We start from the raw sequence: 25,853 nt of genomic DNA, 5'->3' as shown, positions 1-25,853 counted from the left end.
GTGCGTGTGCATGTGAGACCTGCAGGACAGCCTCACTTGGAAGACCTGGTTTTAGGTCTAAGACCCCACGAACAAGCCCAGGGCCTTAATCCCCCTCCGGTTCAGTTTCCCTCCCACAAAGAGGAATGACAAGCCTGTTCCCTGGGGCTGTTGAGGTTGGAATAAGGACGTGTTAAGAAACTGTCTTGTGAATTGTCTAGTCCTAGGCGGTGAGCGGTTATTGTCAGCCAGACAGATTCAAAAGCTTCTCATCCATTTTCCCTTAAGGATGTGTCTGGCCTTCTCTGCTTACTCCCAGCCACCTCCCTATTCCCAGCTGAAGGCATCATCTCCTCTTGGAGCTTCCCTCCCACATGGACCTGCCTGTTTATGGGCATCTGCTCTCCACCTCACCTGCCTTCCGCCACCTGCTCTTGGGCACCTGAAACCACTTCTGCTGGAGTGCAGCGGTGCAAATACAGGTCACTACTGGCCTTTTTTTTTTTTTTTTTTGAGATGGAGTTACGCTGTGTCACCCAGGCTGGAGTGCAGTGGCGTGATCTCCGCTCACTGCAACCTCTGCCTCCCGGGTTCAAGTGATTCTTGTGCTTCAGCCTCCCCAGTAGCTGGGATTGCAGGCATGAGCCACCAAGCCCAGCTTTTTTTGGTATTCTTTTGTAGAGACAAGGTTTCCCTATGTTGCCCAGGCTGGTCTTGAACTCCTGGGCTCAAACGATCCACCCACCTCAGCCTCCTAAAAGTGTTGGGATTATAGGTGTGAGCCACTATGCCTGGCCCCTTCATATGTGCTTGCTTTTTTTTTTTTTTTCAAGACAGTATTTCACTCTTGTTGCCCAGGCTGGAGTGCAATGGCACAGTCTTGTCTTACTGGAACCTCTGCCTCCCAGGTTTAAGCAATTCTCCTGCCTCAGTCTGCTGAGTAGCTGGGATTATAGGCATGCACCACCACGCCTGGCTAATTTTATGTTTTTAGTAGAGATGGGGTTTCACCATGTTGGCCAGGCTGGTTTCAAACTCCTAACCTTAGGTAATCCGCCCACCTTGGCCTCCCAAAGTGCTGAGATTAGAGGCGTGAGCCACCGCACCTAGCCTCTTCGTATATATATGTATATATATATATATATATATATTTTTTTTTTTTTTTTTTTTTGAGACGGAGTCTTGCTCTGTTGCCCAGGCCGGAGGGCAGTGGTGCAATCTTGGCTCACTGCAACCTCCGCCTCCCAGGTTTAAGGAATTCTGTGCTTCAGCCTTCCGAATAGCTGGGATTACAGGCGCATGCCACCACGCCCAGCTAATTTTTTTGTATTTTTAGTAGAGATGAAGTTTCACCATCTTGGCCAGGCTGGTCTTGAACTCCTGACCTCATGATCCACCCGCCTCAGCCTCCCAAAGTGCTGGGATTACAGGCGTGAGCCACCACGCCCGGCCGCTTCTTCATATATTTTAATTGAACATTTAAGGAACCTTTTGTGTCAGTTGTTGTTCTAAGCACTTGGATGTGTTAACTCAATTTTCCCAACTACAACCCAAAGAGGCAGGTACTATTACTATCCATTTTGTTGTGTTTTGTTTTGTCTATTTCTTTTTTGGAGATGGGGTCTCCCTATGTTGTCCAGGCTGGTCTTGAACTCCTGGACTCAAGTCATCCTCCTGCCTCAGTCTCCCAAAGTGCTGGGATTACAGGAATGAGCAGGCTTACTAGCCATTTTACGATGAGGAAACTGAGGCTGGAGAAGTTAAGTGCAGCTGCACTGAGTGCATCAGGCACAGGCAGGCAGTGCTGGTGCTGGTTTCAAAACCAGGCCGCCTGCTCTAGAGCCTGTGTGGATGGCCCTCCCTCACCCCCTGTCTTCCTTCCTTAGGTAACTCCTTTGTAGTATTAATACCTTGGTCTCAGCTTAAATGTCACTTTCTCAGGGAAGTATTTCCTAAGGCCCCTCCTGCAGTGTAAGTGGCCTTCTGAGGGCTCTTGGGTCCTCTTATGTATCTCTTGATCACTTCTTGTTTTGTACTGTAATTGCTTATTTATTTGTCTGTGCTCAGTAGTCCCCTGGGTTTGGGTATGTTTGTTTGCCCTTAGATCTGATCTGCCTTGCATACAGAAAGCATGTCATGAATGTGAGCTGAGTGACCTTTCCATGATGCAGCGCTGCCTGGAGCTGTAGGAAGAAAAGAGTCCCCAGTGGTGGTTTGGCCCAGGAGGGAGGAACGTGAAACTGGAAACAGACCGGGAGACGTAGCCGTGCCGATACATGTGTGTGTTTGGGTGTCTCAAGCGGTGGTAAAGAGAGCATGGGTTTCAAAGTGTGGTGAACCTGGTTCAAATCCCCACTTCAGCACCTGCTGCAGTATGATCTAGAGAAAGTTCTGGAACCTGTTTGTTTCTCATTGACCTAAGTTACCTGAAAGGGCTGGCACGACGCCAGTGGGCCCTGCTTCTGCTGCTGCTGCCAATGTCCTTATGCAAATGGCCTCCGCCTTGTGCACTTCTGTTCCCATCTGCAAAACAGGAGCCTTGGCCAGGGCATTTCTAAGGCCACTTCCCTGTTTAAGCCACTTTAGCTTGATGGAAGCGTCTCAGGTTTTATACTCTGGAACATTTGGATATAGCTGGGAATTTCTCTCCTGGAGGAAGCAGAGGGTGATGTTTCAGCCAGCAATCCTGCACCCACAAGAAAGCCTGCCCCTGGTCAGCAGAACAGCAATCAGAGAAGCTGCTTATGAAGATGGAGTGGCCTGTACCACAGAGGTACCTTTCTAAAGCTGCTTGGGAATCAGATTACAGTGCTTCCCTCCTGCTAGCAGGGAGGCTGGGAGTGCTGATAAGACCTCACATGTTTCTGTGCAAAACTGATCTCCATTCAGCTTCACAACAGCCCTGGAGACAGTGACCTTGACTAACCACCGGCCCATGCTGGCCACAGTGAGGGGCTGTGTTAGTCAGGGTTCTCCAGGGAACAGCCAATAAGATACGCGTGTGCATGTGTGTAGACATATATATGTATATATTCAGAGATTTACTTTAAGGAATTGGCTCGTGGGTTATGGAGTCTTGGTGAGGTCCCAGTCTGCAGGGTAGGCTGTCAGGTGGGAGACCCAGGGAAGACCCCCTCTTGCAGTTCACCACAGAATTCTCTCCTGCTGTGGGGGGGTCAGTCTCTCGTTCTCTTCACGCCTTTGACGAGTTGGATGAGGCCCATCCACATCATAGAGGACAATCTGCTTTACTCAAAGTCCATCACTGAAATCTTTTTTTTTTTTTTTTTTTTTTTTTGCTTGTCTTGCTCTGTCACCCAGGCTGGAGTGCAATGGCACGATCCAGGCTCACTGCAACCACTGCCTCCTGGGTTCAAGCGATTCTCCTGCCTCAGCATTGCGAGTAGCTGGGACTACAGGCGCCCGCCACTGCACCCGGCTAATTTTTGTATTTTTTTTTTTTCAGTGGAGACAGGGTTTCACCATGTTGGCCAGGCTGGTCTCAAACTCCTGACCTCAAGTGATCTGCCTGCCTCAGCCTCCCAAAGTGCTGGGAATACAGGCGTGAGCTACTGCGCCCAGCCTTAAATCTTATCATCCAAAATCACCTTCAGGGAAACATCCAGAATGTCGGACTAAATATCTGGTCACTGTGGCCCAGGCAAGTTGACACATAAAAGTAATCATCATGGGGGCTTCCTGTTTAATCCCTAAGACCTGGGAGTAGGTGCCAGATTCCCGTTTCCGATGAGGAAACTGAGGCTCCAAGGAGTGGAGAGGTATCTCAGGGCACGGAGTTGCGGTGCCATGCCATCAGAAGGCAGGGCATGAGAGTGCTGCCTGCGTGTCACCTGGGTGACCAGAGAAGAGGCGTGTGAGTTCACCCACCAGAACCAGGTGGAAGTATGACTGTGCATGGAAAGGGGATGATGGGCAGCTGGGGTCTCCCCACCCCTCAAGATCTGAACAAGAGTGGCTCAAATCTTCATCCCCCACTTGGCAAGTCTAATGTCTTCCTAAGGTGCTTAAGTTGTCTGGGATATGCTGAAATGTGTTTTCTTGGTCATTCTGGCCCCTGAGTTCCTGCCTCTGCCCAGAGAGCGATCTTAGCCCATTTGTCCACCCAGCAACCTTCTTCCTTTATTTCAAACTCCACCCACTCCTTGCCCCATCACGTTGCACCTGTGTTTGTGGCAAGCTTTGCTGATGGTCTGGAGAGATGAAGGGAAATTACAGAGCAGCAATGACAGCTGCAAATGAGATAGTAGACAATGTGCTCCTGTAAAACCAGCCTCTCTTGAACATTTGCACAGCTCTGGTGCCCTGTTACTTGGTGCTCCACCCCTTTCTTCTTCCTTTCTCTGCCCTCTCTTATTGTTACCCTCTTCCTCTCAGAAATGCAGTCAAATTCCTCCCATTTTCCTTTGCAGTGAAGTTCTACCTTCTCTCGTCCAGAGTCCTTATCTTGGCTCCAGGCTCCCGCTGGGTGTCCTGGGGGTGGGAAGGTGTTCTATGAGAGTTCTTTACACCAAGAAGCAGGCCTCCTCCTCCCTAGGTGCCCTTTTGAGGGTGGAGTCTGGTTCCTTCTCCCACAGGAGTGGGAATGGGGCAGTGTCTGAGGCCAACTGCAGCATTGCCCTTCCCAGGACTGGCCAGGTGAGGCCCTCTCCACCTGTCTGGCCTGAGGCAGGTGCCTGTGTTGTGGGGACAGATCTCAGTCACCTCAGCAGCAGACTCCAGGCTCTGATCCCAAATAGCCCTGCGATTCATCCTGCTCTGTGACTTGTCCACAGGGAGTGGATGCCCTGGCCAGGGGCAGGAGGGTCTGGTCTGGAAATTGTACTTGACGCTGGTGTGTCTCAGTCTCTGAGCTCAGGTGCACTCTGACACCCATCCTGGAGTCCACAGTGTGGCCCTCCACTCGGGATGCTTTGGGTTCTTGGATTCTCAGCCCCTCCTATTAAAAAAAAAAAAAGATCATTTATCCCTCTGCTCAAAACCTGGGATGGTGCTTTGTCATAGTGGCCTGAACCAAGACAATGATTATTAACTCCTTGTGGACCTGATTTGCATTTCCTGATTGCTAATAATAATTTTGGGTGCCTGTAATCCCAGCTACTTAGGAGGCTGAAGCAGGAGAATCGCTTGAACCCAGGAGACGGAGGTTGCAGTGAGCCGAGGTCGTGCCACTGCACTCCAGCCTGGGTGACAAGAGCAAGACTCTGTCTCAAAAAAAAAAAAAAAAAAAAAAGAGTAAGCATCTCTGGCTTGTGCCTGTAATCCCAGCACTTTGGGAGGCTGAGGCCGGCAGATCACTTGAGGTCAGGACTTTGAGACTAGCCTGGCCAACATGGTGAAACCTCATCTCTACTAAAAATACAAAAATTAGCCAGGTGTGGTGGTGTGTGCCTGTAATCCCAGCTACTCAGGAGGCTGAGGCAGGAGAATCGCTTGAACCAGGGAGGCGGATGTTGCAGTGAGCTGAGATCGCACCACTGCACTCCAGCCTGGGCGACAAGAGTGAAAGTCTGTCTCAAAAAAAAAAAGAAGAAAAAAAAAGATTCAGATTAATCTCCATCCTCATTGGACTTGACCCCATCCACAGCATTTGACCTGGGTCCTCACTCTTGCATTTGGGAAACCCTTTCTTGCATCTCTGGAGCTTTCACTCCTAATTCTCTGCTCACCCCAGTGACTACTCTCTATTGGTCTCCTTTGACCTCTCAGCTCCATCCTTGGACCTCTTTCTCCTGTTTCACTTGTTCTTTAGGTCTTTCATCCAGTCTCATGGCTTTACTATCAAGCATATGCTAATATCTTCCATTTTATAGCTCCTTCACCGAAGCCTCTGCCTGAACGTCATATATTGAACTTCTGATTCCATATTTCTCTACTTGGATAGCTAACTTGATATGGCTAAAATTCAACTCCTGAGTCCCTCACCCCCAAACCTCCTCCTGAAGTCTCCCCATATCCATAAAAGGCAACTCCATGCTTTCTGCTGCTCAGGCCCCAAACCTTGAAATAATCCTTAAGTCTGTCCCATCAGTAAGTCCCACTAGCTTTGTCTTAAAAATTTCATCCAGCCAGGCACAGTGGCTCACACCTGTAATCCCAGCACTTTGGGAGGCCAAGGCGGGCAGATCATGAGGTCAGGAGATCGAGACCATCCTGGCTACACTGTGAAACCCCGTCTCTACTAAAAATACAAAAAAATTAGCCTGGCGTGGTGGCAGGCGCCTGTAGTCCCAGCTACTCGGGAGGCTGAGGCAGGAGAATGGCGTGAACCCGGGAGGCGGAGCTTGCAGTGAGCCGAGATAGTGCGACTGCACTCCAGCCTGGGCAACAGAGCAAGACTCCATCTCAAAAAAAAAAAAAAAAGTTTCACCCAGAATCATACCACTTCCTATTCCTCCTCCCCTGCTAGCTTGGTCCAAGCCACTATCATATCATCTCTCATCTTGATTAATCCAACAGTATCTTAACTGATGTCCTCCTCTGTGACCTTACAATGTACTCTCCAGACAGAGAGCCTTTTAAGACATAAACAAGATCAAGACACTCCTTCTGTTCAAACCCTGCAATGAATGACTGCCCATCTCCTTCAGAGCAAAACCCAAAGTTCTTGGAATGACTTATGAGATGATCTTGCCTGTCACTTCCCTTCTGATCTCCTCTCGATTATTCTCTCTCTTTTATATGTGTATATATATATGCACACACACACACATACATACATATATATACATATATATATATGTCTCTGTGTGTGTGTGTGTGTGTGTGTATTTTTTTTTTCTTTTTTTTTTTTTGTGATAGAGTCTCACTCTGTCACCCAGGCTAGAGTGCAATGGCATGATCATGGCTCACTGTAGCCTCGTCTTCCTGGGCTCAAGCAGTCTTCCCACCTCAGTGTCCCGAGTACCTGGGACTACAGGTGAGAGCCACCACAGCCAAGTAATTTTAAATTTTTTATAGAGACGGGGTCTCACTATGTTGCCCAGGCTGGTCTTGAATTCCTGGCCTCAAGTCATCCTCCTGCCTCAGCCTCCCAAAGTGCTGGGATTACAGGCGTGAGCACCGTGTCTGGCCTACTCTTCCTCCTGCTCACTCTGTTTCAGCCTATTTGGTTTCTGTGCTGTGCCTGGGACCTGCAGGCACCCTCGTGCCTCAGGCCTTTGCATTGGCTGTTATGAGCACACCTCATTTTATTGTGCTTTGCTTTATTGCACTTTGCAGATATTACTTTTTTTAAAATTTTTTTTGAGAAGGAGTCTCGCTCTGTCACCCAGACTGGAGTGCAGTGGAGCAATCTCGGTTCACTGCAAGCTCCGCCTTCCAGGTTCACACCATTCTCCTGCCTCAGCCTCCCGAGTAGCTGGGACTACAGGCACCCGCCACCGCGCCTGGCTAATTTTTTTGTATTTTTAGTAGAGACGGGATTTCACTGTGTTAGCCAGGATGGTCTCGATCTCCTGACCTCATGATCCACCTGCCTCGGCCTCCCAAAGTGCTGGGATTGCAGGCGTGAGCCACTGCGCCCAGCATTTTTTTTTAATTGAAGGTTTGTGGCAATCTCGTGTCCAACAAGTCTATTGGCACAATTTTTCCAATAGCCTGTGCTCACTTCATGTCTCTGTCACATTTTGGTAATTCTTGCCATATTTCAAACTTTTTCATTATTAATATATCTGTTATGGTGACCCATGATTAGTGATCTTTGATGTTACTATTCTGATTGTTTTAGGGCACCACGAATGGTGCCCAGATAAGATGGTGAACTTAATCAATAAATGTTGTGTGCGTTCTGACTGCTCCACTGACCTGACCCTCCATTTCCCTATCTCTCTTCCTCTCCTCTGGCCTCCCTAGCCCCTAAAACACAACAATATTGAAATGAAGCCCATTAATAACCCTACAGTGGCCTCTCAGTGTTCAAGTGAAAGGAAGAGTCACACGTTTCACACTTTAAATCAAAAGCCAGAAACGATTAAGCTTAGCGAAGAAGGCTGAAAGCTAGGCCTGTTGTGCCAAACAGCCAATTAGTGTATTAAAAATAAAAGTTCTTGAGGGAAATTAAATGTGCTACTCCAGTAAATACACAGATGATAAGAAAGCAACACAACCTATTGCTGATAAGGAGAAAGTTTGAGTGGTCTGGATAGAAGATCAAATCAGCTACATTTCCTTAAACCAAAGCCTAATCCATACAAGGCTCCAACTCTCTTTGATTAAATTCAGTGAGGCTGAGTAAGGTAAGGAAGCTGCAGAAAAGTTAGAAGCTAGCAGAGTTTGGTTCATGAAGTTTAAGGAAATAAGCCATCTCTGTAACCTAAAAATACAACATAAAGTAACAAGTACTGATGTAGAAGCTGCAAGTTATCCAGAAGATCTTGCTAAGATAACTGATGAGGTGGCAACACTAAACAACAGGTTTTAAATGTAAACAAAACAGGTATCTACTGGGAGAAGATGCCATCTAGGACTTTCTTGGCTAGAGAGGAGAAGTCAACACCTGGCTTCAAAACTTCAAAGGAAAGGATGACTCTCTTGCTAAGGGCTAAGGCAGCTGGTGACTTTAAGTTGAAACCAATGCTCATTGACAATTCCTAAAATTACAGGGCCCTTAAGAATTGTGCTAAATCTACTCTGCTGTGCTCTATAAATGGAACAATGAATCCTGGATAACAGCATGTCTGTTAACCATTATACTATGGTTTACTGAACATTTTAAGCCTTCTGTTGAGACCTACTGCTTAGAAAAAAATATTTATTTCAAAATATTATTGCTCATGGACAGGCACTTTGTCACCCAAGAGATGTGATGAAGACATACAAGGAGATTAATGCTGTTTTCATGCCTGCTAACACATTGATTCTGCAGCCCATGGATCAAGGAGTAATTTTGACTTTGAAGTCTTATTATTTAAGAAATACATCTTACAAAGCTATAGCTGCCATAGATAGTGATTTCTGTGATGAATCTGGGCAAAGTAAACTGAAAACCTTCTGGAAAGGATTCACCATCCTAGATGCCATTAAGAACATTCGTGATTCATGGGGGGAGGTCAAAATAGCAACATTAACAGAAGTTTGGAAGAAGTTGACTCCAACCCTCATAGATGTCTTTGAGGGGTTCGAGACTTCAGTGGAGGAAGAAACTGTAGATGTATTGGAAATAGCAAGAGAACTAGAATTAGAAGTGAAGCCTGAATATGTGACTGAATTGCTGCAATCTCATGAGAAAACTTTAATATTAATATTTAGTAAACCATTCAAAGTAATGGCAAAACCACAATTACTTTTGCACTAAACTAATAGATGAGGAGTTGCTTCCTATGGATGAGCAAAGAAAGTGGTTTCTTGAGACGGAATCTACTTCTGTGAAAATGACAACAAAGAATTTAGCATATGACACAAACTTAGTTGATAAAACAGTGGCAGGGTTTGAAAGGACTGACTCCAATTTTGAAAGAAGTTCTATTATGGGTAAAATGCTACCAAATACCATTGCAGGCTACAAAGAAATATTTTATGAAAGGAAGAGTCAATCAATGCAGAAAACTTCATGTTGCCTTATTTGAAGAAATTGCCATAGCCACCCCAAACTTCAGCAACCATCATTCCGGTCAGTCAGCAGCCATCCATTAAGGCAGAAAGATATGACTTGCTGAAGGATCAGATGATTGTTAGCATAATTTTTTTTAGCAATAAAGTATTTTTAAATTAAGATATGTACATATTTTTTAGACATAATGCCATTGCACATTTAATAGACTACTGTGTAGTATAAACATAATTTTTATATGCACTGGGAAACCAAAACTTTGTGTGACTCACTTTATTGCAATATTTATTTTAATGCAGTGATCTGGAACCGAACCTGCAATGTTCTCTGAGGTATGCCTGTACGCTGAAATAGTTTAAATGTTCTTGTTTATTTTCCTTTTTTCCTTCTTCATTTTTTTTTTTTTTTGAGACGGAGTTTTGCTCTTGTTGCCCAGGCTGGAGTACAATGGCGCGATCTCGGCTCACCGCAACCTCCAGCTCCTGGGTTTAAGCAATTCTTCTGCCTCAGCCTCCCGAGTAGCTGAGATTACAGGCATGCACCACCACACCCGGCTACTTTTGTGTTTTTAGTAGAGACGGAGTTTCTCCATGTTGGTCAGGCTGGTCTCAAACTCCCGACCTCAGGTGATCTGACCGCCTTGGCCTCCCAAAGTGCTGGGATTACAAGCGTGAGCCACTGCGCCTGGCCCTTGTTTATTTTCTTATTGTCTGTTTCCCCCCAATAAAAACATGTTCACAGGCCAGTCTTTTGTTTTGTTCACTCCTGTATCTTCAGTACCTTAGAACAGTGCTTGGCACAGAGTGAGCCCTCAGTAACTATTTTTTTTGTTTGTTTTTTGAGACAGAGTTTCACTCTATCACCCAGGCTGGAATGCAATGGCGCGATCACCGCTCACTGCAACCTCCACCTCCCGGGTTCAAGCGATTCTCCTACCCCAGCCTCCCTAGTAGCTGAGATTACAGGCGCCCACCACCACACCCAGCTAATTTTTTTGTACTTTTAGTAGAGACGGGGTTTCGCCATGTTGGCCAGGCTGGTCTTGAACTCCTGACCTCATGCGATCCGTCCACCTTGGTCTCCCAAAGTGCTGGGATTATAGGCGTGAGCCACCGCACCTGGCCAGTAACTATTTATTAAACAAATCAAGTAATGGATTGTTATTATTATTATTATTATTATTATTATTATTATTATTATTTGAGATGAAGTCTTGCTCTTGTCCCCCAGGCTGGAGTGCAGTGGCACGATCTTGGCTCACTGCAACCTCGGCCTCCCGGGTTCAAGCGATTCTCCTGCCTCAGCCTCCTGAATAGCTGGGATTACAGACGCCTGCCACCAAGCCCAGCTAATTTTTGTAGTTTTAGTAGAGACAGAGTTTCACCATGTTGGCCAGGCTGGTCTAGAACTCCTGATCTCAGGTGATCCACCAGCCTTGGCCTCCCAAAGTGCTAGGATTATAGGCGTGAGCCACCGCACCCAGCCCAAGTAATAGATTATTATGCCCTATGTAATCTAAATCAGATAAAGGGGAAGTGACATCAGGAGGATGTGAGAGACAAGGAGAAGGTGGTAAGGTCAGTGGATGAGAGGTTTTGGGTAGGGTAGGACTGGAGTGAGTTCGAATGACAGAAAGGGATTGGAGACTGTGATGCTTGGATTGAGCTAATGAAGGGTCTCTTTTTTCTACTTTATTGGCTACTTCATCTCAGTCTTCATTGCTGGTTTCTCCTCAACATTTAAAAAATTTAAAAAGTTTAAATGTAGAGATGGGGTCTCAAACCCCTGGGTTCAAGTGGCCCTCCTGCCTCAGCCTCCTGAGGGTCTGGGACTACAGGTGCACCTTTGTAGTGTACACCAGTGCACCTGGCTCCCATCAACATCTCAATCTCTAAAACTGGAGTGAAGTAGTAAAAAAAAAAGTCTGGGACAGTGTTTTTCAAATTGAGAGACACAGCCCATTAGTGGATCATAAAATTAAGTTAGTGGGTTAAAACCAGCATCTATAAAAATGAAATAGAATAGAATAGAATAGAAAATAGCAGAGCACATTGCATGCAGCAAGGATATGTATCATATCATAAAACTTTCATTTCAATTTTATATATGTAGATGTGGATTTTTTGTTTTTGTTTTTGTTTGTTTGTTTTGTTTTTTGGAAATGGAGTCTTGCTCTGTCGTTCAGGCTGGAGTGCAGTGGCACGATCTCAGCTTACTGCAGCCTCCGCTTCCCAGGTTCAAGCGATTCTCTTGCCTCAGCCTCCCGAGTAGCTGCGACTACAGGCACCCGCCACCACGCCCGGCTAATATTTTTGTATTTTTAGTAGAGACAGGGTTTCACTGTGTTAGCCAGGATGGTCTCGATCTCCTGACCTCATGATCCACCCACCTCAGCCTCCTAAAGTGCTGGGATTATAGGCATGAACCACCGTGCCCAGCCAGATGTGTGTATTTCTATATGGTGCCTGTGTGTACTGAGTCACACATATGGTTGGGTCATGGACAAACAAGTTTGAAAGCCTTTGGCCACAGGAGTGAGTGAGGAGGTCAAAAAACTGAGAGGCCAGGTCATTGGAAAGATTTTATCGTAAATCCTGAAATTACCAAGACTTTCTAGGGGTAGTGCTCAAATACAGAAATTTTACCGGGCTTGAAAATCTTCAAGACATGTCCCAGTGAGTCTGTAGATGGTTGCAACGGCCGGTGCTTAGTCCTTTCTCCAAGATCTCTAATTGTACCCTTTCCTGCCCATTCCTGGACTTTGGCCTGCTGCCAGCTCTTTCCTCACTAGTGCACCCCAAACTGCCTTAGTAGCCTGAGCAACCCGCCTCCAACACTCTGGGTCCAGCCCCAGTGCCGAGTTTCCTCATTCATACCTCCTGCTGTCTCCAAGGGCACCTCGTGATCATAGCAGCATAATGACAAGGCTGGCCATCATTTACCGGGTCTCTCCATATGCTCTGTTTGGTAGGAATTGCCCCTCATTTTATTTTATTTATTTATTTATTTTTTGAGATGGAGTTTCGCTCTTGTCGCCCAGGCTGGAGTGCAATGGCACAATCTTGGCTCACTGCAACCTCCGCCTCCCAGGTTCAAGTGATTCTCCTGCCTCAGCCTCCCAAGAAGCTGTGATTACAGGTGGCTGCCACCATGCCTGGCTAATTTTGTATTTTTAGTAGAGTTGGGGTTTCACCATGGGGTCAGGCTGGTCTCGAACTCCTGACCTCAAGTGATCCACCCGCCTCGGCTTCCCAGTGCTGGGATTACAGGCGTGAGCCACTGTGCCCAGCCTGCCCTTCATTTTATAGAGGAGAGCCAGGAGTTTAGAGGTTAAGTGATTTGTCCAAGATCACTCAGTAAGTGTCAGAGCCAGGATTTGATCTCAAGTCTGTCTCCCTCCCTACAAGGCCTTTGCAATGTACCCCACAGCCTCCCTCACCAGTTATCTGAGTCACTCTTGCAGATTCTCACAGCATGAAATTCAGATTTCACGCTTCGATAACAGCTACGAATCACTCCATTTCATGAAGAATGGGGTCTCTCACAGAGTTGAAAATGTTAAAATTCTTTTTTTTTTCCCCCAAGATGGAGTCTTGCTCTGTTGCCCAGGCTGGAGTGTAGTGACACGATCTCGGCCCACTGCAACCTCCACCTTCTGGGTTCAAGCAATTCTCCTGCCTCAGCCTCCCGAATTAGCTGGGATTATGCCCAGCTAATTTTTGTATTTTCTTAGTAGAGACGGGGTTTCACCACGTTGGCCAGACTGGTCTCGAATTCTTGACCGCATGATCTGCCTGCCTCGGCCTCCCAAAGTGTTGGGATCATGGGCATGAGCCACTGTACCCGGCCTGAAAATGTTAAAATTCTTGAATGGCTACTGTCCACACTGCATGTCAACCCTGCCCCCAGAGCTGTGTTGGGGACATAGAGAGAAAGTGAAGACCTGAAGACCCAGCTCCTGGCCTCAGGAGATTACAACCAGAGTACTGGAGACCTTAGAGATTAGACAGGTTATCTGCATTTCACAAATGCCAGCACGGAGGCCTGCGTCACAAAGCAGGAAAGAACAGACGTCTTGGAGCACGAAGTAAGAATCACCTTGTTGCAATTATTTACTGACTCCTGGGTCACTCCCCATCATTTCTTGAAGGTTTTAGTGTCTGGTAAAATATCACTCTCTCTCCAACCCTCTCCCTATAAAATCTTCAAAATACAGATCTCCTGCCCAGCAGTTTATACCTTTCACAGGTTGAGATGATGAAAGTACAATGTGGGGGATAGATGAGTCTGGCTCACAGTGTTAGGGCCACTAAATTGCTGTGTCCCACTTGACTCCGGGTGTCTGGAGGCCACGTGCTCCAGGTGAGGCAGGACCCTCCCAACCCTGGGTGTTGGGGAATGAGTACTGCTTTGCCTGACCTGCCGTGGTAATTCCTCCCACCCTACTTGCCTGGTTTAAGAATGGGCATGTGATCATATCTGGCCAACAGGATGTAAGATGTCTTCTGTGGGAATTCTTTTCTTTCATATTCTTTTCTTTTTTTTGAGAGGGAGTCTCACTCTGTCGCCCAGGCTGGAGTGCAATGGCGTGATCTCAGCTCACTGCAACCTTTGCCTCCCAGGTTCAAGCCATTCTCCCGCCTCAGCCTCCCAAAATGCTGGGATTACAGGAATGAGCCACCGCGCCCGGCTCATGTTCTTAAAAAAGAGACACACTGAAGCTTTTAGACATAGATATCATGATGACATGAAGGCTTGAGTTGTGGTAGCCACCTTGTGTCTTTGAAAGGATAAACACAAAGTCAAAAACCGATGTGCTAAGGATGGTCAACCATGGAACTCCCCCTCCTCGGACCTTCCTGTATGTGACAGAAGTTCCTTATTGCTCAAAAATGTTTGGGTTGGGTGCGGTGGCTCATGCCAGTAATCCCAGCACTTTGGAAGGCCCAGGTGGGTGGATCACTTGAGCCCAAGAGTTCAAGACGAGCCTGGGCAACACGGTGAAACTGTCTCTACAAAAAAATACCCATACACAAGAAAAGTACCCGGGCTTGGTGGGACACGCCTGTAGTCCCAGCTACTCAGGAGGGTGAAGTGGGAGGATCGCTTGAGCCTGGGAGGAGGAGGCTGCAGTGAGCTGTGATTTCGCCACTGCACTCCAGCCTGAGTGACAGAGCAAGACTGTGTCTCAAAAAAAAGTTTGACTTTGGGCTTCTGATGCTTGTCACCCAAAACATCCTCATGTAACGTGCAGCATCAGATGGCCATAGAAGGCCAAGCAAAGTAGCAATGGGTTGCAACGAGGGGTGCAATGCCGGCTGCCGGAGCAGACAAGCCCAGGATTCCTAGTGTTTAGTACAAGATATCCTGACCGGGCGCGGTGGCTCATGCCTGTAATCCCAGCACTTTGGGAGGCTGAGGCGGGCGGATCACGAGGTCAGGAGATCGAGACCATCCTGGCTAACATGGTGAAACCCTATCTCTACTAAAAATACAAAAAATTAGCCAGGCGTGGTGGCAGGTGCCTGTAGTCCCAGCTACTCAGGAGGCTGAGGCAGGAGAATGGCTTGAACCCAGGAGGTGGAGGTTGCAGTGAGCCGAGATCATGCCACTGCATTCCAGACTGGGTGACAGCACGAGACTCCATCTCAAAAAAAAAAAAAAAAAAAAAAGATACCCCTCCCTGCATCCCCGCCAGTGCACAAGCAGTCTTGCTGAGGTGCCTTTCATAAGGCCATTCAGGGATCCAAGATCATTTCTTCCTTCCTCTAGATTCCTCCATTGATCTGTTAGAGGAGAAAGAGCCGAGAAGACACACCTGCTTCTGTGCTGGAAGTTACGCTCACCACTTCCACTTTTATTCCACCAGCAAGAAGTGGTCCCATTATCCCTTGCAGATGCAGGGAGACTGGCTGGGCAGCCCCTTCCAGCACTGACTGCACCCTCCATAAAGGGGGCAGGGCCTCTGACGATCAGCAAGAGGTCTCTGCCACAAGGTCTGATGATGGGTTGAGGAGGCTCTGAGCTGGGCCTTGGAGGGAAGGAAGGACCTCATGAGGAAGAGAGGGAGGGACTCTAGGTGGGTGGTGGTGGGCACAGTATGTGTTAAGGTAAAGAGCTGATTCAGGCCTGGCTCAGTGGCTCACGCATGTAATCCCAGCACTTTGAGAGGCTGAGGCGGGTAGATCACCTGAAGTCAGGAGTTCAAGACCAGCCTGGCCAACGTGGCGAAACCCTGTCTCTACTAAAAATACAAAAATTAGCCAGATGTCATGGCAGGCGCCTGTAATTCCAGCTACTTGGGAGGCTGAGGCACAAGAATTGCTTGAACCTGGGAGGCGGAGGTTTCGGTAAGTCGAGATCGCGCCACTGCACTCCAGCCTGGGTTACAGGGCGAGACTCTATCTCGAAAAAAAAAAAGCTGATTCAAAGGAGATCCAGTTGGGGTAGGGTCTGCATTTGGTGTGAAGAGGTCTATAAATTTGGGTAGAAAGAGAAGACCCAAATATAGGGGCCCTGTGTGTCTGAGTCAATCTACCCTTGTCACGTGTTCCCTGGAGTTAACTTGGAACCGTTGTGCAAGACGGGCTCTATCTGGGTCCCCACCTGTAAAGCATCAGGGATGAGGATGAATCCCACGATGTCCAATGGCATGGGTAAAAGAAGACCTTTTATTTATTTCCGAGGAGGTGGAGTAAGAGAAGGGAAAATTTACAGGTCCAGCAAGGCTCGGCAAGACAGAGTTGTCATGTTCCAGAGAAGGGACCCTGGCATTTATTTGCAGGGCAAATAATGAAAGTAGCCTTATTAAGGGAAGGACCCACAGACTGCTTGGGGCCAGGCAGTCTGGATTTAAGTGCTAACTGGTGACAGCTGCCGGAACAAGCCCAGGCCCCGGAGACTCCTGGACCAGGGAATGCTGCAATTCCCTGTTAAGCTACTAGTTGTGGGAAGCTGAGCTTGGGGTGGCTCCTCCCACTCAGAGAAGGGGAATCCTGGATCCCAATGAGCTCTCCGTGCATGCAACCCAGCTCAGAGTCACTTTCGGACAACCCTGCTCCTGGCACAACTGGAACCCGAGGATTTTGTAATCTTTTGGTGAGGTGGAGTTCAACACTCTTACATTTCAGTCAATAGGATTCCATAGGAAAAATGCCGTGTATTTTGTGTTTCCTATGTGCCAAGCATGTTGTATTTGCATCTGGTAGGTGGAACAAGCAGGGTTTGTGGGTTGCGATCTTAAAGCACCTTTCTTCTGTCTCACGTTTTTCCTAAATTGTGGTCAGTAGGGGTAGTTGTTCCCTGGCTCAAGATAGATATGTGACCAGTCTCAGACTTTCTTGATCCCTTTTAGGGTGAAGTCCCATAGTGACTTCAAGCTGCAAAACACAGTCTTAATTCTAGAATGATGATGCTCAATTGTAGGTAACTGTCAAAGATTCCGATTATATTCAAGTTATGACAGCTTTCCCTCTGCTGGGAGAAGCCAGGCTGTGGGGAAGAGGAGGTGGCCAGCTTTTCCTTTCTTGCTTGCTCACCTCAGGAAAGTTTTAAGAGTCGCCTCTCCACAGCCCCCAGAGTCACCAGCAACAGCTGGGACATGCCCCCTCCTCAAGGTCTGAGCCCCAACTCTGCAGAGCCCCTCCTCTGGGCTTCTAGAATCTGATAATCCCATCTCTTCCTTCTGTTCCGCAGCCCTAGGGCTGCCAGCTGTTTTCCCTGGCTATGATTTCTGCATTACTTCTTTGTTCTCTTAGTGGTTTTTCAATACTTGCTTAACCAGTTTCCTATATTAAATTCTCTCTGATGAATTACCTGTTTTGGATTCTGTTTTCTTGGCTAGACTGTGTTTATACATTGGTTATTCAACAATTTCCAACCTACTACAATTGTAAGGAGATATAAATTATACTAGATATAATAGCTAACTCTTATTATAGAGAAAATGATGAAACATTTGCTTGTGTCAGCCAGGGCCGAAAACATACTCCTCTCCTTGGGAGAGAGAGATTTGAAATAACTGAAGTGCTATTACCCTCCTCCTCTGTATTTGCTTTAAACCCAGAGAGTGGTCAAGATGTCATTCGTGACCAAACGCCTATTACACCTTCCAACACTTTGGTATCTGCAGGAGGATCTGGGAACATGGGAGGTGATGGGGGACTCCGTGCTGGTCCAGAAGGAAATGAAGGGCAGCCTGATATAAAATGGTGGTGGCCACTGAATTTGGGTCTAGGTTTTTCTAGGTCTGGCTGGGGCAGGGTGCATGGCAGAAGAGTTAGAAGTTCCCCTGAGTCTCTTTCAACATCAGGGGATTGTGATGGAGAGGTATCCATGCCAGTGAGGGCTCCCGGAGAAGCTAGAGATAAAGTGTTGCTGATTCCAGCACTGATGGGGACTTGAACTCCTATGTGCTTTCCATCTCCAAGAGCTTAGAGAAATGTGGATCTCCAAGCAAATACTCAGGAAACCAGCTCTCTTGTTTCCAAGAGATTCAGGGGATTCCTAACTTTAATTTGCTGAATACTGTCTTTGCATTTCATCTTCATTCTCCTGCTCATTTTCTTCATCACTGATAACTCTTTTAAGAAAAGATTAAGAAAAGTGGATCAGGGTCGAGTGCAGTGGCTTATATCTATAATACCAGCACTTTGGGCTGAGGTGGGTGGATCACTTGAGGTCAGGAGTTCGAGACAAGCCTGGTCAACATGGCAAAACCGTGTCTCTACTAAAAATACAAAAAATTAGCCGGGCGTAGTGGCGCATGACTGTAATCCCAGCTACTCAGGAGACTGAGGCAGGAGAATTGCTTGAACCCGGGAGGCAGAGGTTGTGGTGAGCCAAGATTGTGCCACTGCACTCCAGGGTGACAGAGTGAGACTCCATCTCAAAAAAATAAATAAATAAATAAAAATTTAAAAAAATGTTGGGATTACAGGTGTGAGCCGCTGTGCCCGGCTCTAATGCTTCTTAACCTTAACTGACTTTCTTTTATGTGCTCCACATTTTTGGTCAGAAGCTTCGGAAATGTCATCAGTTTTAGTGCAGTCTTAAACAAAGCTGTGACTTTACCATAAACCTTAATCAAAGTTGTATCATCTCATGTCAGCATCGTGACTCTGGCCCGCATCCCACTGAGCAACCCCAACTCCTCATGGGAGTTCATGGAAGCCACGGCCACCCAGCATTGCCACAGCAAGAAGGCTCAGGAGGTGCATAACTGATCTGCAGATGAACCCAGCACCTACTCAGGTATATGATCTCTACTGTCTCTCTTTTTTTTTTTTTTTTTTTTTTTCTGGGACAGAGTCTCACTCTGTTGCCCAGGCTGGAGTGTAGTGGTATAATCTCAGCTCACCACAACTTCCACCTCCTGGGTTCAAGTGATTCTCCTGCCTCAGCCTCCCAAGTAGCTGGGACTACAGGCACCCACCATCATGCCCAGATAATTTTGTGTATTTTTAGTAGAGACAGGGTTTCACCATATTAGCCAGGATGGTCTCGATCTCCTGACCTCGTGATCCACCTGCCTTGGCCTCCCAAAGTGCTGGGATTACAGGCGTGAGCCACCACGCCTGGCTCTGGCCTGATATGTTTTATTAGCTCCAATTTATATGAGGAAACTGAGGCCGAAGACACGCTAGTCGAGTGTCTGAGACATAAGTTGTACATAGGTCTATTTCCCATGTCTCTGTGCTTTCTACTGTAACCATGCTCTTCTCCAGGCTGGCTGGAGCTTTGTGGTCCCGGCATCAGTGACCCTTTTCTTTGGCCCTGTTTCTCCATATGTTAAGAATAGAGAATGATCCCCATGCCTCCCCAGCTCCCAGTGTGGTACAGAGGATCAGTTGTTCAGCCCAAACTATGCTGAGGTCTATGAGCACCGCTGCCTGTCCTTGCCGGGTGTGTTAGCCTCACTGGGTCACACACTGCCTTGCTTGGCCAGGTCAGCTCTGGGTCCTCGACTCCTTGCAGAGTAGTGGAGATTCTATACTGGAATAAGAGCTGATCCTCACCAGGCATGGTGGCTCACGCCTGTAATCCTAGCACTTTGGGAGGCCGAGGCGGGTGGATTGCCTGAGCTCGGGAGCTTGAGACCAGCCTGGGGAACACGGTGAAAACCTGTCTCTACTAAAAATACAAAAAATTAGACGGGTGTGGTGGCATGCGTCTGTAATCTCAGCTGCTCAGGAGGCTGAGGCAGGAGAATGGCTTGAACCTAGGAGGCAGAGGTTGCAGTGAGCTGAGATCATGCTACTGCACTCCAGCCTGGGCGACAGAGCAAGACTCCGTCTGAAAAAAAAAAAAAAAAAAAAAAAGCTGATCCTGCCTGCATTTCCACAGTGGAAGCAGATGGTTTGGGGAAATCTAATTTAAAAGGAAAGAAATCAAATTAGCTCTCCAGGGGTCTGATGGCCAAGACTTGAGTGAAGACAATTACATTAGATGCTGAGGCCTCACCAAAGCGGCCTAAAGACTGAAGGTGGGTAGGGTGGAAGCCACCCCGGGGTCCCTTATCCCTGGGTGGGTTCAAATCATGGCTGAAGGGGACAGGAGAGAGCTCAGATTGGTGGAATAAAGTCCTTAGACTCTAATGATGCCTGGCTTGGGAATGGTGAACCTGTAGCTGACTCTGCCACTTGACTTTCTATGGCTCACAGACCCTCTTGGTAACCTCTCTTTCTCAAAAAGCCCCACACACAGTCTTACCTCTTTTGGAGTGTGGTCAATTTAAGGAGAATGATTAAGAAAAACAGCTCTCATCAGGTGCTGTTTGACAAGAATGTCAGGGCTATTTACTCTGAGACACCAAAGCCCCTTGGGGTATCAAAACTACCATGTGGGGCTGGCGCAGTGGCTCACGCCTGTAATCCCAGCACTTTGGGAGGCCGAGGCGGGTGGATCATGAGGTCAGGAGATCAAGGCCATCCTGGCTAACATGGTGAAACCCCATCTCTACTAAAAATACAAAAAATTAGCCAGGCGTGGTGGTGGGCATCTGTAGTCCCAGCTACTCTGGAGGCTGAGGCAGGAGAATGGCGTGAACCCGGGAGGCGGAGCTTGCAGTGAGCCGAGATAGCGCCACTGCACTCCAGCCTGCTCAACAGAGCGAGACTCCGTCTGAAAACAAAAACAAAAACAAAAAACAGGCCGGGTGCGGTGGCTCACACTTGTAATCCCAGCACTTTGGGAGGCCAAGGTAGGTGGATCACCTGAGGTCAGGAGTTCAAGACCAGCCTGACCAACATGGAGAAACCCCGTATCTATTAAAAATACAAAATTAGCCGAGTGTGGTGACAGATGCCTGTAATCCCAGCTACTCCAGAGGCTGAGGCAGGAGAATCGCTTGAACCCGGGAGGTGGAGGTTGCGACGAGCCAAGATCCTGCCATTGCACTCCAGCCTGGGCAACAAGAGCAAAACTCTGTCTCAAAACAAACAAACAAACACTACCTTGTGAGCTCAGTCAGAATGGCCGTCCCAGGCAGTACTTGAGCCCGTCAGCTTGAACCAGAAATGTGTCCCAGGGTGTTGGGAACAAGCCCTCCAAAATCTGGCCATAAACTGTCCCCAAAACTGGCCATAAACAAAATCTCTGCAGCACTGTGACATGTTCATGATGGCCATAACGCCCATGCTGGAAGGTTGTGGGTTTACCAGAATAAGGGCAAGGAACACCTGGCCTGCCCAGGGTGGAAAACCGCTTAAAGGTGTTCCTTACACCACAAACAATAGCATGAGCGATCTGTGCCTTAAGGACATGCTCCTGCTGCAGTTAATTAGCCCAACCTATTCCTTTAATTCGGCCCATCCCTTGGTTTCCCATAAGGGATACTTTTAGTTAATTTAATATCTATAGAAACAATGCTAATGACTGGCTTGCTGTTAATAAATACGTGGGTAAATCTCTGTTCGTGGCTGTCAGCTCTGAAGGCTGTGAGACCCCTGATTTCCCGTTTCACACCTCTATATTTCTGTGTATGTGTCTTTAATTCCTCTAGTGCCACTGGGTTAGGGTCTCCCCAACCGAGCTGGTCTCGGCACCAGGGCGTTCTTTCTGCCTACATTTTTGTGCTTGGAAGGCTGTGGAGCATCCCGAACATCAGTGCTGTTCCCTGGCCACAGGCAATTGGACCAGGGATTGGTAGTGTTCTGCCAAGGGGTGCCAATAAGGCTGCGTCTTATTGGTTGGAGACAAACTACCTACTTAGATCCTTCCTGCTAAAGGAGCTTGCCTGTGAGATGCAAAGAGAAGTGGAGATGCTGGGGCAGATGCCATATGCAGGACTCCCATGAACTACTGTCTCGGGTCTCTGCAGAATTCAGCTTAGAAAGTGCAGAAACTCCTGAGTGGTGGTATAGCTGTTGAGATGATGAATATCCTTCCACCAAGCTCATTTAAGGCTTTGAATGCTCTCTTCCTTGCATCTTAAAGAGCCCAACCATGGCATCGAATATTAAAAAAAAAAAAGCAACAATTTCAGAGATAAAATATTATTTTGAAATATTTTGGGGTTTCCCATAAAAATGTTCACTGTTCCTATTACTTAATTTTTACTAGCGGTCCTTCCCTCACGCCCACCCCGTAAATGAATATAGAGGGGGAGAGAGCTGCTTTTCCTGGGTATTTGCTTGCAGACTCACATTTTTATAAGCTCCTAGAGATGGAGGGCATCAAGTTCCCATGGGTGCAGGAATCAGCAACATCTTCTCTGTAGCTTTTCCTGGAGTCCCCTCTATGTCCTGGGGCCCTCCACTCATGGGGAGCATTTTCTCTGCTGGACAGCCCTGGTTTAAAGGGGTTTCCTTTATGTTCAGCCAAAATCTTACCGGAGAGTTCTGCCCATCAGTTCTCATTCTGGCCTCTGGGACAACATACATTCTGGTTCATCTTACAGCCCTTAAGATATTTGAAAACGAAGACAGTTGTGTTGTTGGATGACCCCTCCCCCAGGCTACAATCCCCTGGTGCTTCACTCTCCTCTTGGGTGACAAGGTTTTTAGGCAGGCCGCCTACCCTCCCAAAAAAGTTCTGTCCTCTCCAGGTGTCTGTAGATGGTCAACTTTCTTCTTGAGGAATCGCCCCAGAACAGAGCACCATATTCCCCTAGGGCTGACTATCACATCTGTGGCTCAGTTGTCTCCATCTGGACACTTCTCTGGATGCATCCTCTCTTCAGTTTTGGCTTCTATTAAGTTTGTGGCAAGCTAAATTTCCACATCTTTTTCAAATGAAATTTTTTCTTCATCCTGCATTTATGTAATGGGTTCTTCCACTCAAAAGATGTTCCAGGATGTCCCTGTCAAGTTTCCTCCTGTGATATTAATCCTGGAAGGCAGCACTGTGCGAAATATGCAGTGAAACTGGGAGAAAGATAGTCCTGGATTCAAACCTGTATCCAGCCTATTAACTATACGATATTGGGGCAAATATTTAACTTCTCTCAACCCTATGTTTTCTCCAAATGTGAAATGGAATACGATACCTTTAACTCACTTGTCGTTTTCCAAACTTCACTATAGACTGAAAAGAAATCTAAATGCTCATATTTTCCGTCTCCCTTATAGCTATGAGTAGCCATGTGACAGATTTCTAGTCAATGATGTACAAATGTGAGTTGACTTCCAGCTTGCCAGGGGAAGCTTTTGCATTTGAGATAGAAGAGATCATTGCGGCTAGCAGTTGTTCTTTTTTTTATTTGGAGATGGAGTCTCACTCAGTAGCCCAGGCTGGAGTGCAGTGGCATGATCTCGGCTCACTGCAAGCTCTGCCTCTTAGGTTCATGCCATTCTCCTGCCTCAGCCTCCCAAGTAGCTGGAACTATAGGCGGCCGCCACTATGCCCAGCTAATTTTTTTGTATTTTTATTAGAGACAGGGTTTCACCACGTTGGCCAGGATGATCTCGATCTCCTGACCTCGTGATCCACCCGCCTCGGCCTCCCAAAGTGCCGGGATTACAGGCATGAGCCACCGCGCCCGGCCTTAGCAGTCGTTCTTCCCCTACCTCTACCTGTGAATGTAGGAATGGCTGGAGCCGCAGCAGCTACCTTATGACCGTGGGATACAAGCCAAGAGAATCACAGAGATGCCATCTTCCACAGAGCAGAGCTGCTAAATCAACACTTCTAATTCCCTCCAGACTTAACATATGAGAATTCGGCTGTTACCCAACCAGCCAAATGTATGCTTGCCCGGCTAACTTAAAGTGCTGTGGTAAGGACGAAGGGCTGCTAAACGTATTGTATGGATTGCTTGATTTTGTTTACTTATTCCTGTTGAGATATATCCTTTGGGTGTCATATTCTATTATTCCAGTCTCTGAGATCTCTTTGAACTATACGTCTGTTACTCAAAGTACTGGGTATTTCTCAGAGCCTTGTGAAATATGCATATAATAATACAGTATTTAGTAAAAGTCTTTTTTTTTTCCTTTTTGAGACCTAGTCTCACTGTTGCCAGGCTAGAGTGCAGTGGCGCGATCTCAGCTCACTGCAACCTCCGACTCCCTGGTTTTAAGCGATTCTCCTGCCTCAGCCTCCTGAGTAGCTGGGATTCCAGACACGCACCACCACGCTCAGGTAATTTTTGTATTTTTAATAGAGATGGGGTTTCACCATGTTGGCCAGGATGGTCTCCATCTCCTGACCTCATGATCCGCTTGCCTCGGCCTCCCAAAGTGCTGGGATTACAGGCATGAGCCACTGTGCCCCGCCTGTTTTTTTGTTTTGTTTTTGAGACAGAGTCTCACTCTGTTGCCCACGCTGGAGTACAGTGGTGGTGCGATCTTGGCTCTGTGCAACCTCCACCTCCCGGGTACAAGCGATTCTCCTGCCTCAGCCTCCCGAGTAGCTGGGATTACAGGTGCCTGCCACTATGCCTGGCTAATTTTTTGTATTTTTAGTAGAGATGGGGTTTCACTATGTTGGCCAGGCTGGTCTTGAACTCCTGACCTCAAGTGATCCACCCACCTCAGCCTCCCAAAGTGCTGGGATTACAGGCGTGAGCCACTGCGCCCGGCTGTATTTAGTAGTATTCCAAGTTATCATTTAAAACATTGACCAGGAAAGAACATGGCAGGACTGCACAGGCCACTGGTAGAGACCTCTCCCCCTTGTATGGTTGTGTTCACCCAACCACGATATGCCTAATTGTGCTGGAATTCCACCCATACCACTCCAACTTGTGCCCAAGAAGCTTATGAGATATCCTGGCCTGTCTGTCAGTGAAACAATTCCCTGTACACCTGGAGGACTCTAGGAAATGAGAGCATCATGGAATGAGCCCCTGGATCTATGTGGAGTCTTGGCCCCACCCTTGGCCACTCAACTCCCTCTGGAGGACGTGGTTTTGGAGAGTAGGGCCTTGGGAGGAGAGTCCGGGGGGTTTATGGATATTAAAGCACTTTCAGTCCTTGAGGGCACTGGGTAAAGTAATAGCCTTTTACTAAATCCAGCTGCTTTGATTCAAATTTGTTGCCCCTGGGCTGCTTTTCACAGTTGAGCCAAGAGGCCAACACCTCCATACAACTGCTTCTCTTATGCTCAAGGAGATTCTTTCTGGACCCAAAGCAGTTGTTGCTTTTGGCAGTGTCTGTTGCCTTTTTGTGACCTAAAACTTCCTAAAGGCCTTTGCTCCAAGGCCCTTCAGGACCCGAGAGCAGCAGGCTGTCCTGGTTCTCCCTAAACTGCAGAGCTACACCTGGCCCTGTCCGCCAAGAGTCAAGGGAGGCTCGTTTCGGCCTGATTGTGGACAGCCAGCTCCTTTTGGGATGTCTGCCAGCTTTCAATGATCCCTTGTCTTCTGGCGCTGGGCCCAATCAGCAGGTCACAGAGGGTGGCTGAGTGTTTCCTCCACGCACCCCTCCCTGCCCGCTGCTAGCTGAAGGAACAGAGGTAGACATTTGACTCAAACTGGGTCAAAATTTTCTCTCCTAAAACTTCAAGTGGGGCTAATGGAGGTTGCCTCTGTGTAAGCTTGGGAGCTGGGGGGCAGCCGGTCGGGAAGCGGCTGAGTAACAAAGTTGGTCTCCTCGAAGAGCAAAATATAGTAGCGCAGAAATGGAGAGCTGTAGGAGTTCTTGGTCCATGTTTCTGGAATCTTCCTAAGGCTCAACCATTTTCATTCTTGCGTTAATTGCTCACTTTTGCTTAAGCTAGCCCATTTGTCCTTACATTATTAACAACAAACAGAAAGGCAGGATATAGATAGCCCCGAGGTGTTCCAGGATTTAAGTAGCTGCAGTCTGTTCCACGCTAACCTACCCTTCAGCAAAGCTGCAGCATGGAATGTGCTCGTAGCCTCTGA

The 25,853-nt window shown here is 47.5% G+C and overlaps 1 long non-coding RNA gene across 4 annotated transcripts in view, besides 3 other annotated features; it reads left to right on the top strand.

Moving 5' to 3' along the window:
• Positions 1-25,853, top strand: part of LOC105369625 (uncharacterized) — a 71,439-nt gene that overhangs the window by 28,386 nt on the left and 17,200 nt on the right. For 3 of the 4 annotated variants that reach the window (XR_001748978.2, XR_001748979.2, XR_001748976.2), the window contains exon 3: positions 18,657-18,799. This is a non-coding gene — a long non-coding RNA (uncharacterized LOC105369625). Of the gene's footprint in view, positions 1-18,656; positions 18,800-23,571; positions 23,798-25,853 lie in introns of those variants that run through there. The other variant, XR_001748977.2, reaches the window with a different exon arrangement.
• Positions 2,504-3,190: a transcriptional cis regulatory region, noted in NCBI's record as "candidate enhancer chr12.283 targeted for multiplex CRISPR interference". NCBI's record gives its function as "positively regulates CD9 gene expression with high confidence in K562 cells {active_cell/tissue: K562}" and the evidence as "EXISTENCE:mutant phenotype evidence [ECO:0000015][PMID:30612741]".
• Positions 24,799-25,299: an enhancer, noted in NCBI's record as "H3K4me1 hESC enhancer chr12:6350889-6351389 (GRCh37/hg19 assembly coordinates)". NCBI's record gives its function as "activates a minimal SCP1, AML or CMV promoter by ChIP-STARR-seq in primed H9 embryonic stem cells {active_cell/tissue: H9 hESC(primed)}" and the evidence as "EXISTENCE:reporter gene assay evidence [ECO:0000049][PMID:30033119]".
• Positions 25,300-25,800: an enhancer, noted in NCBI's record as "H3K4me1 hESC enhancer chr12:6350388-6350888 (GRCh37/hg19 assembly coordinates)". NCBI's record gives its function as "activates a minimal SCP1, AML or CMV promoter by ChIP-STARR-seq in primed H9 embryonic stem cells {active_cell/tissue: H9 hESC(primed)}" and the evidence as "EXISTENCE:reporter gene assay evidence [ECO:0000049][PMID:30033119]".

This window comes from Homo sapiens, chromosome 12 (assembly GCF_000001405.40).
Source record: "Homo sapiens chromosome 12, GRCh38.p14 Primary Assembly".
NCBI lineage: Eukaryota > Metazoa > Chordata > Mammalia > Primates > Hominidae > Homo > Homo sapiens.
Note: the sequence above shows the minus strand (reverse complement) of the source record. Positions and strands in the feature narration are given on the sequence as shown.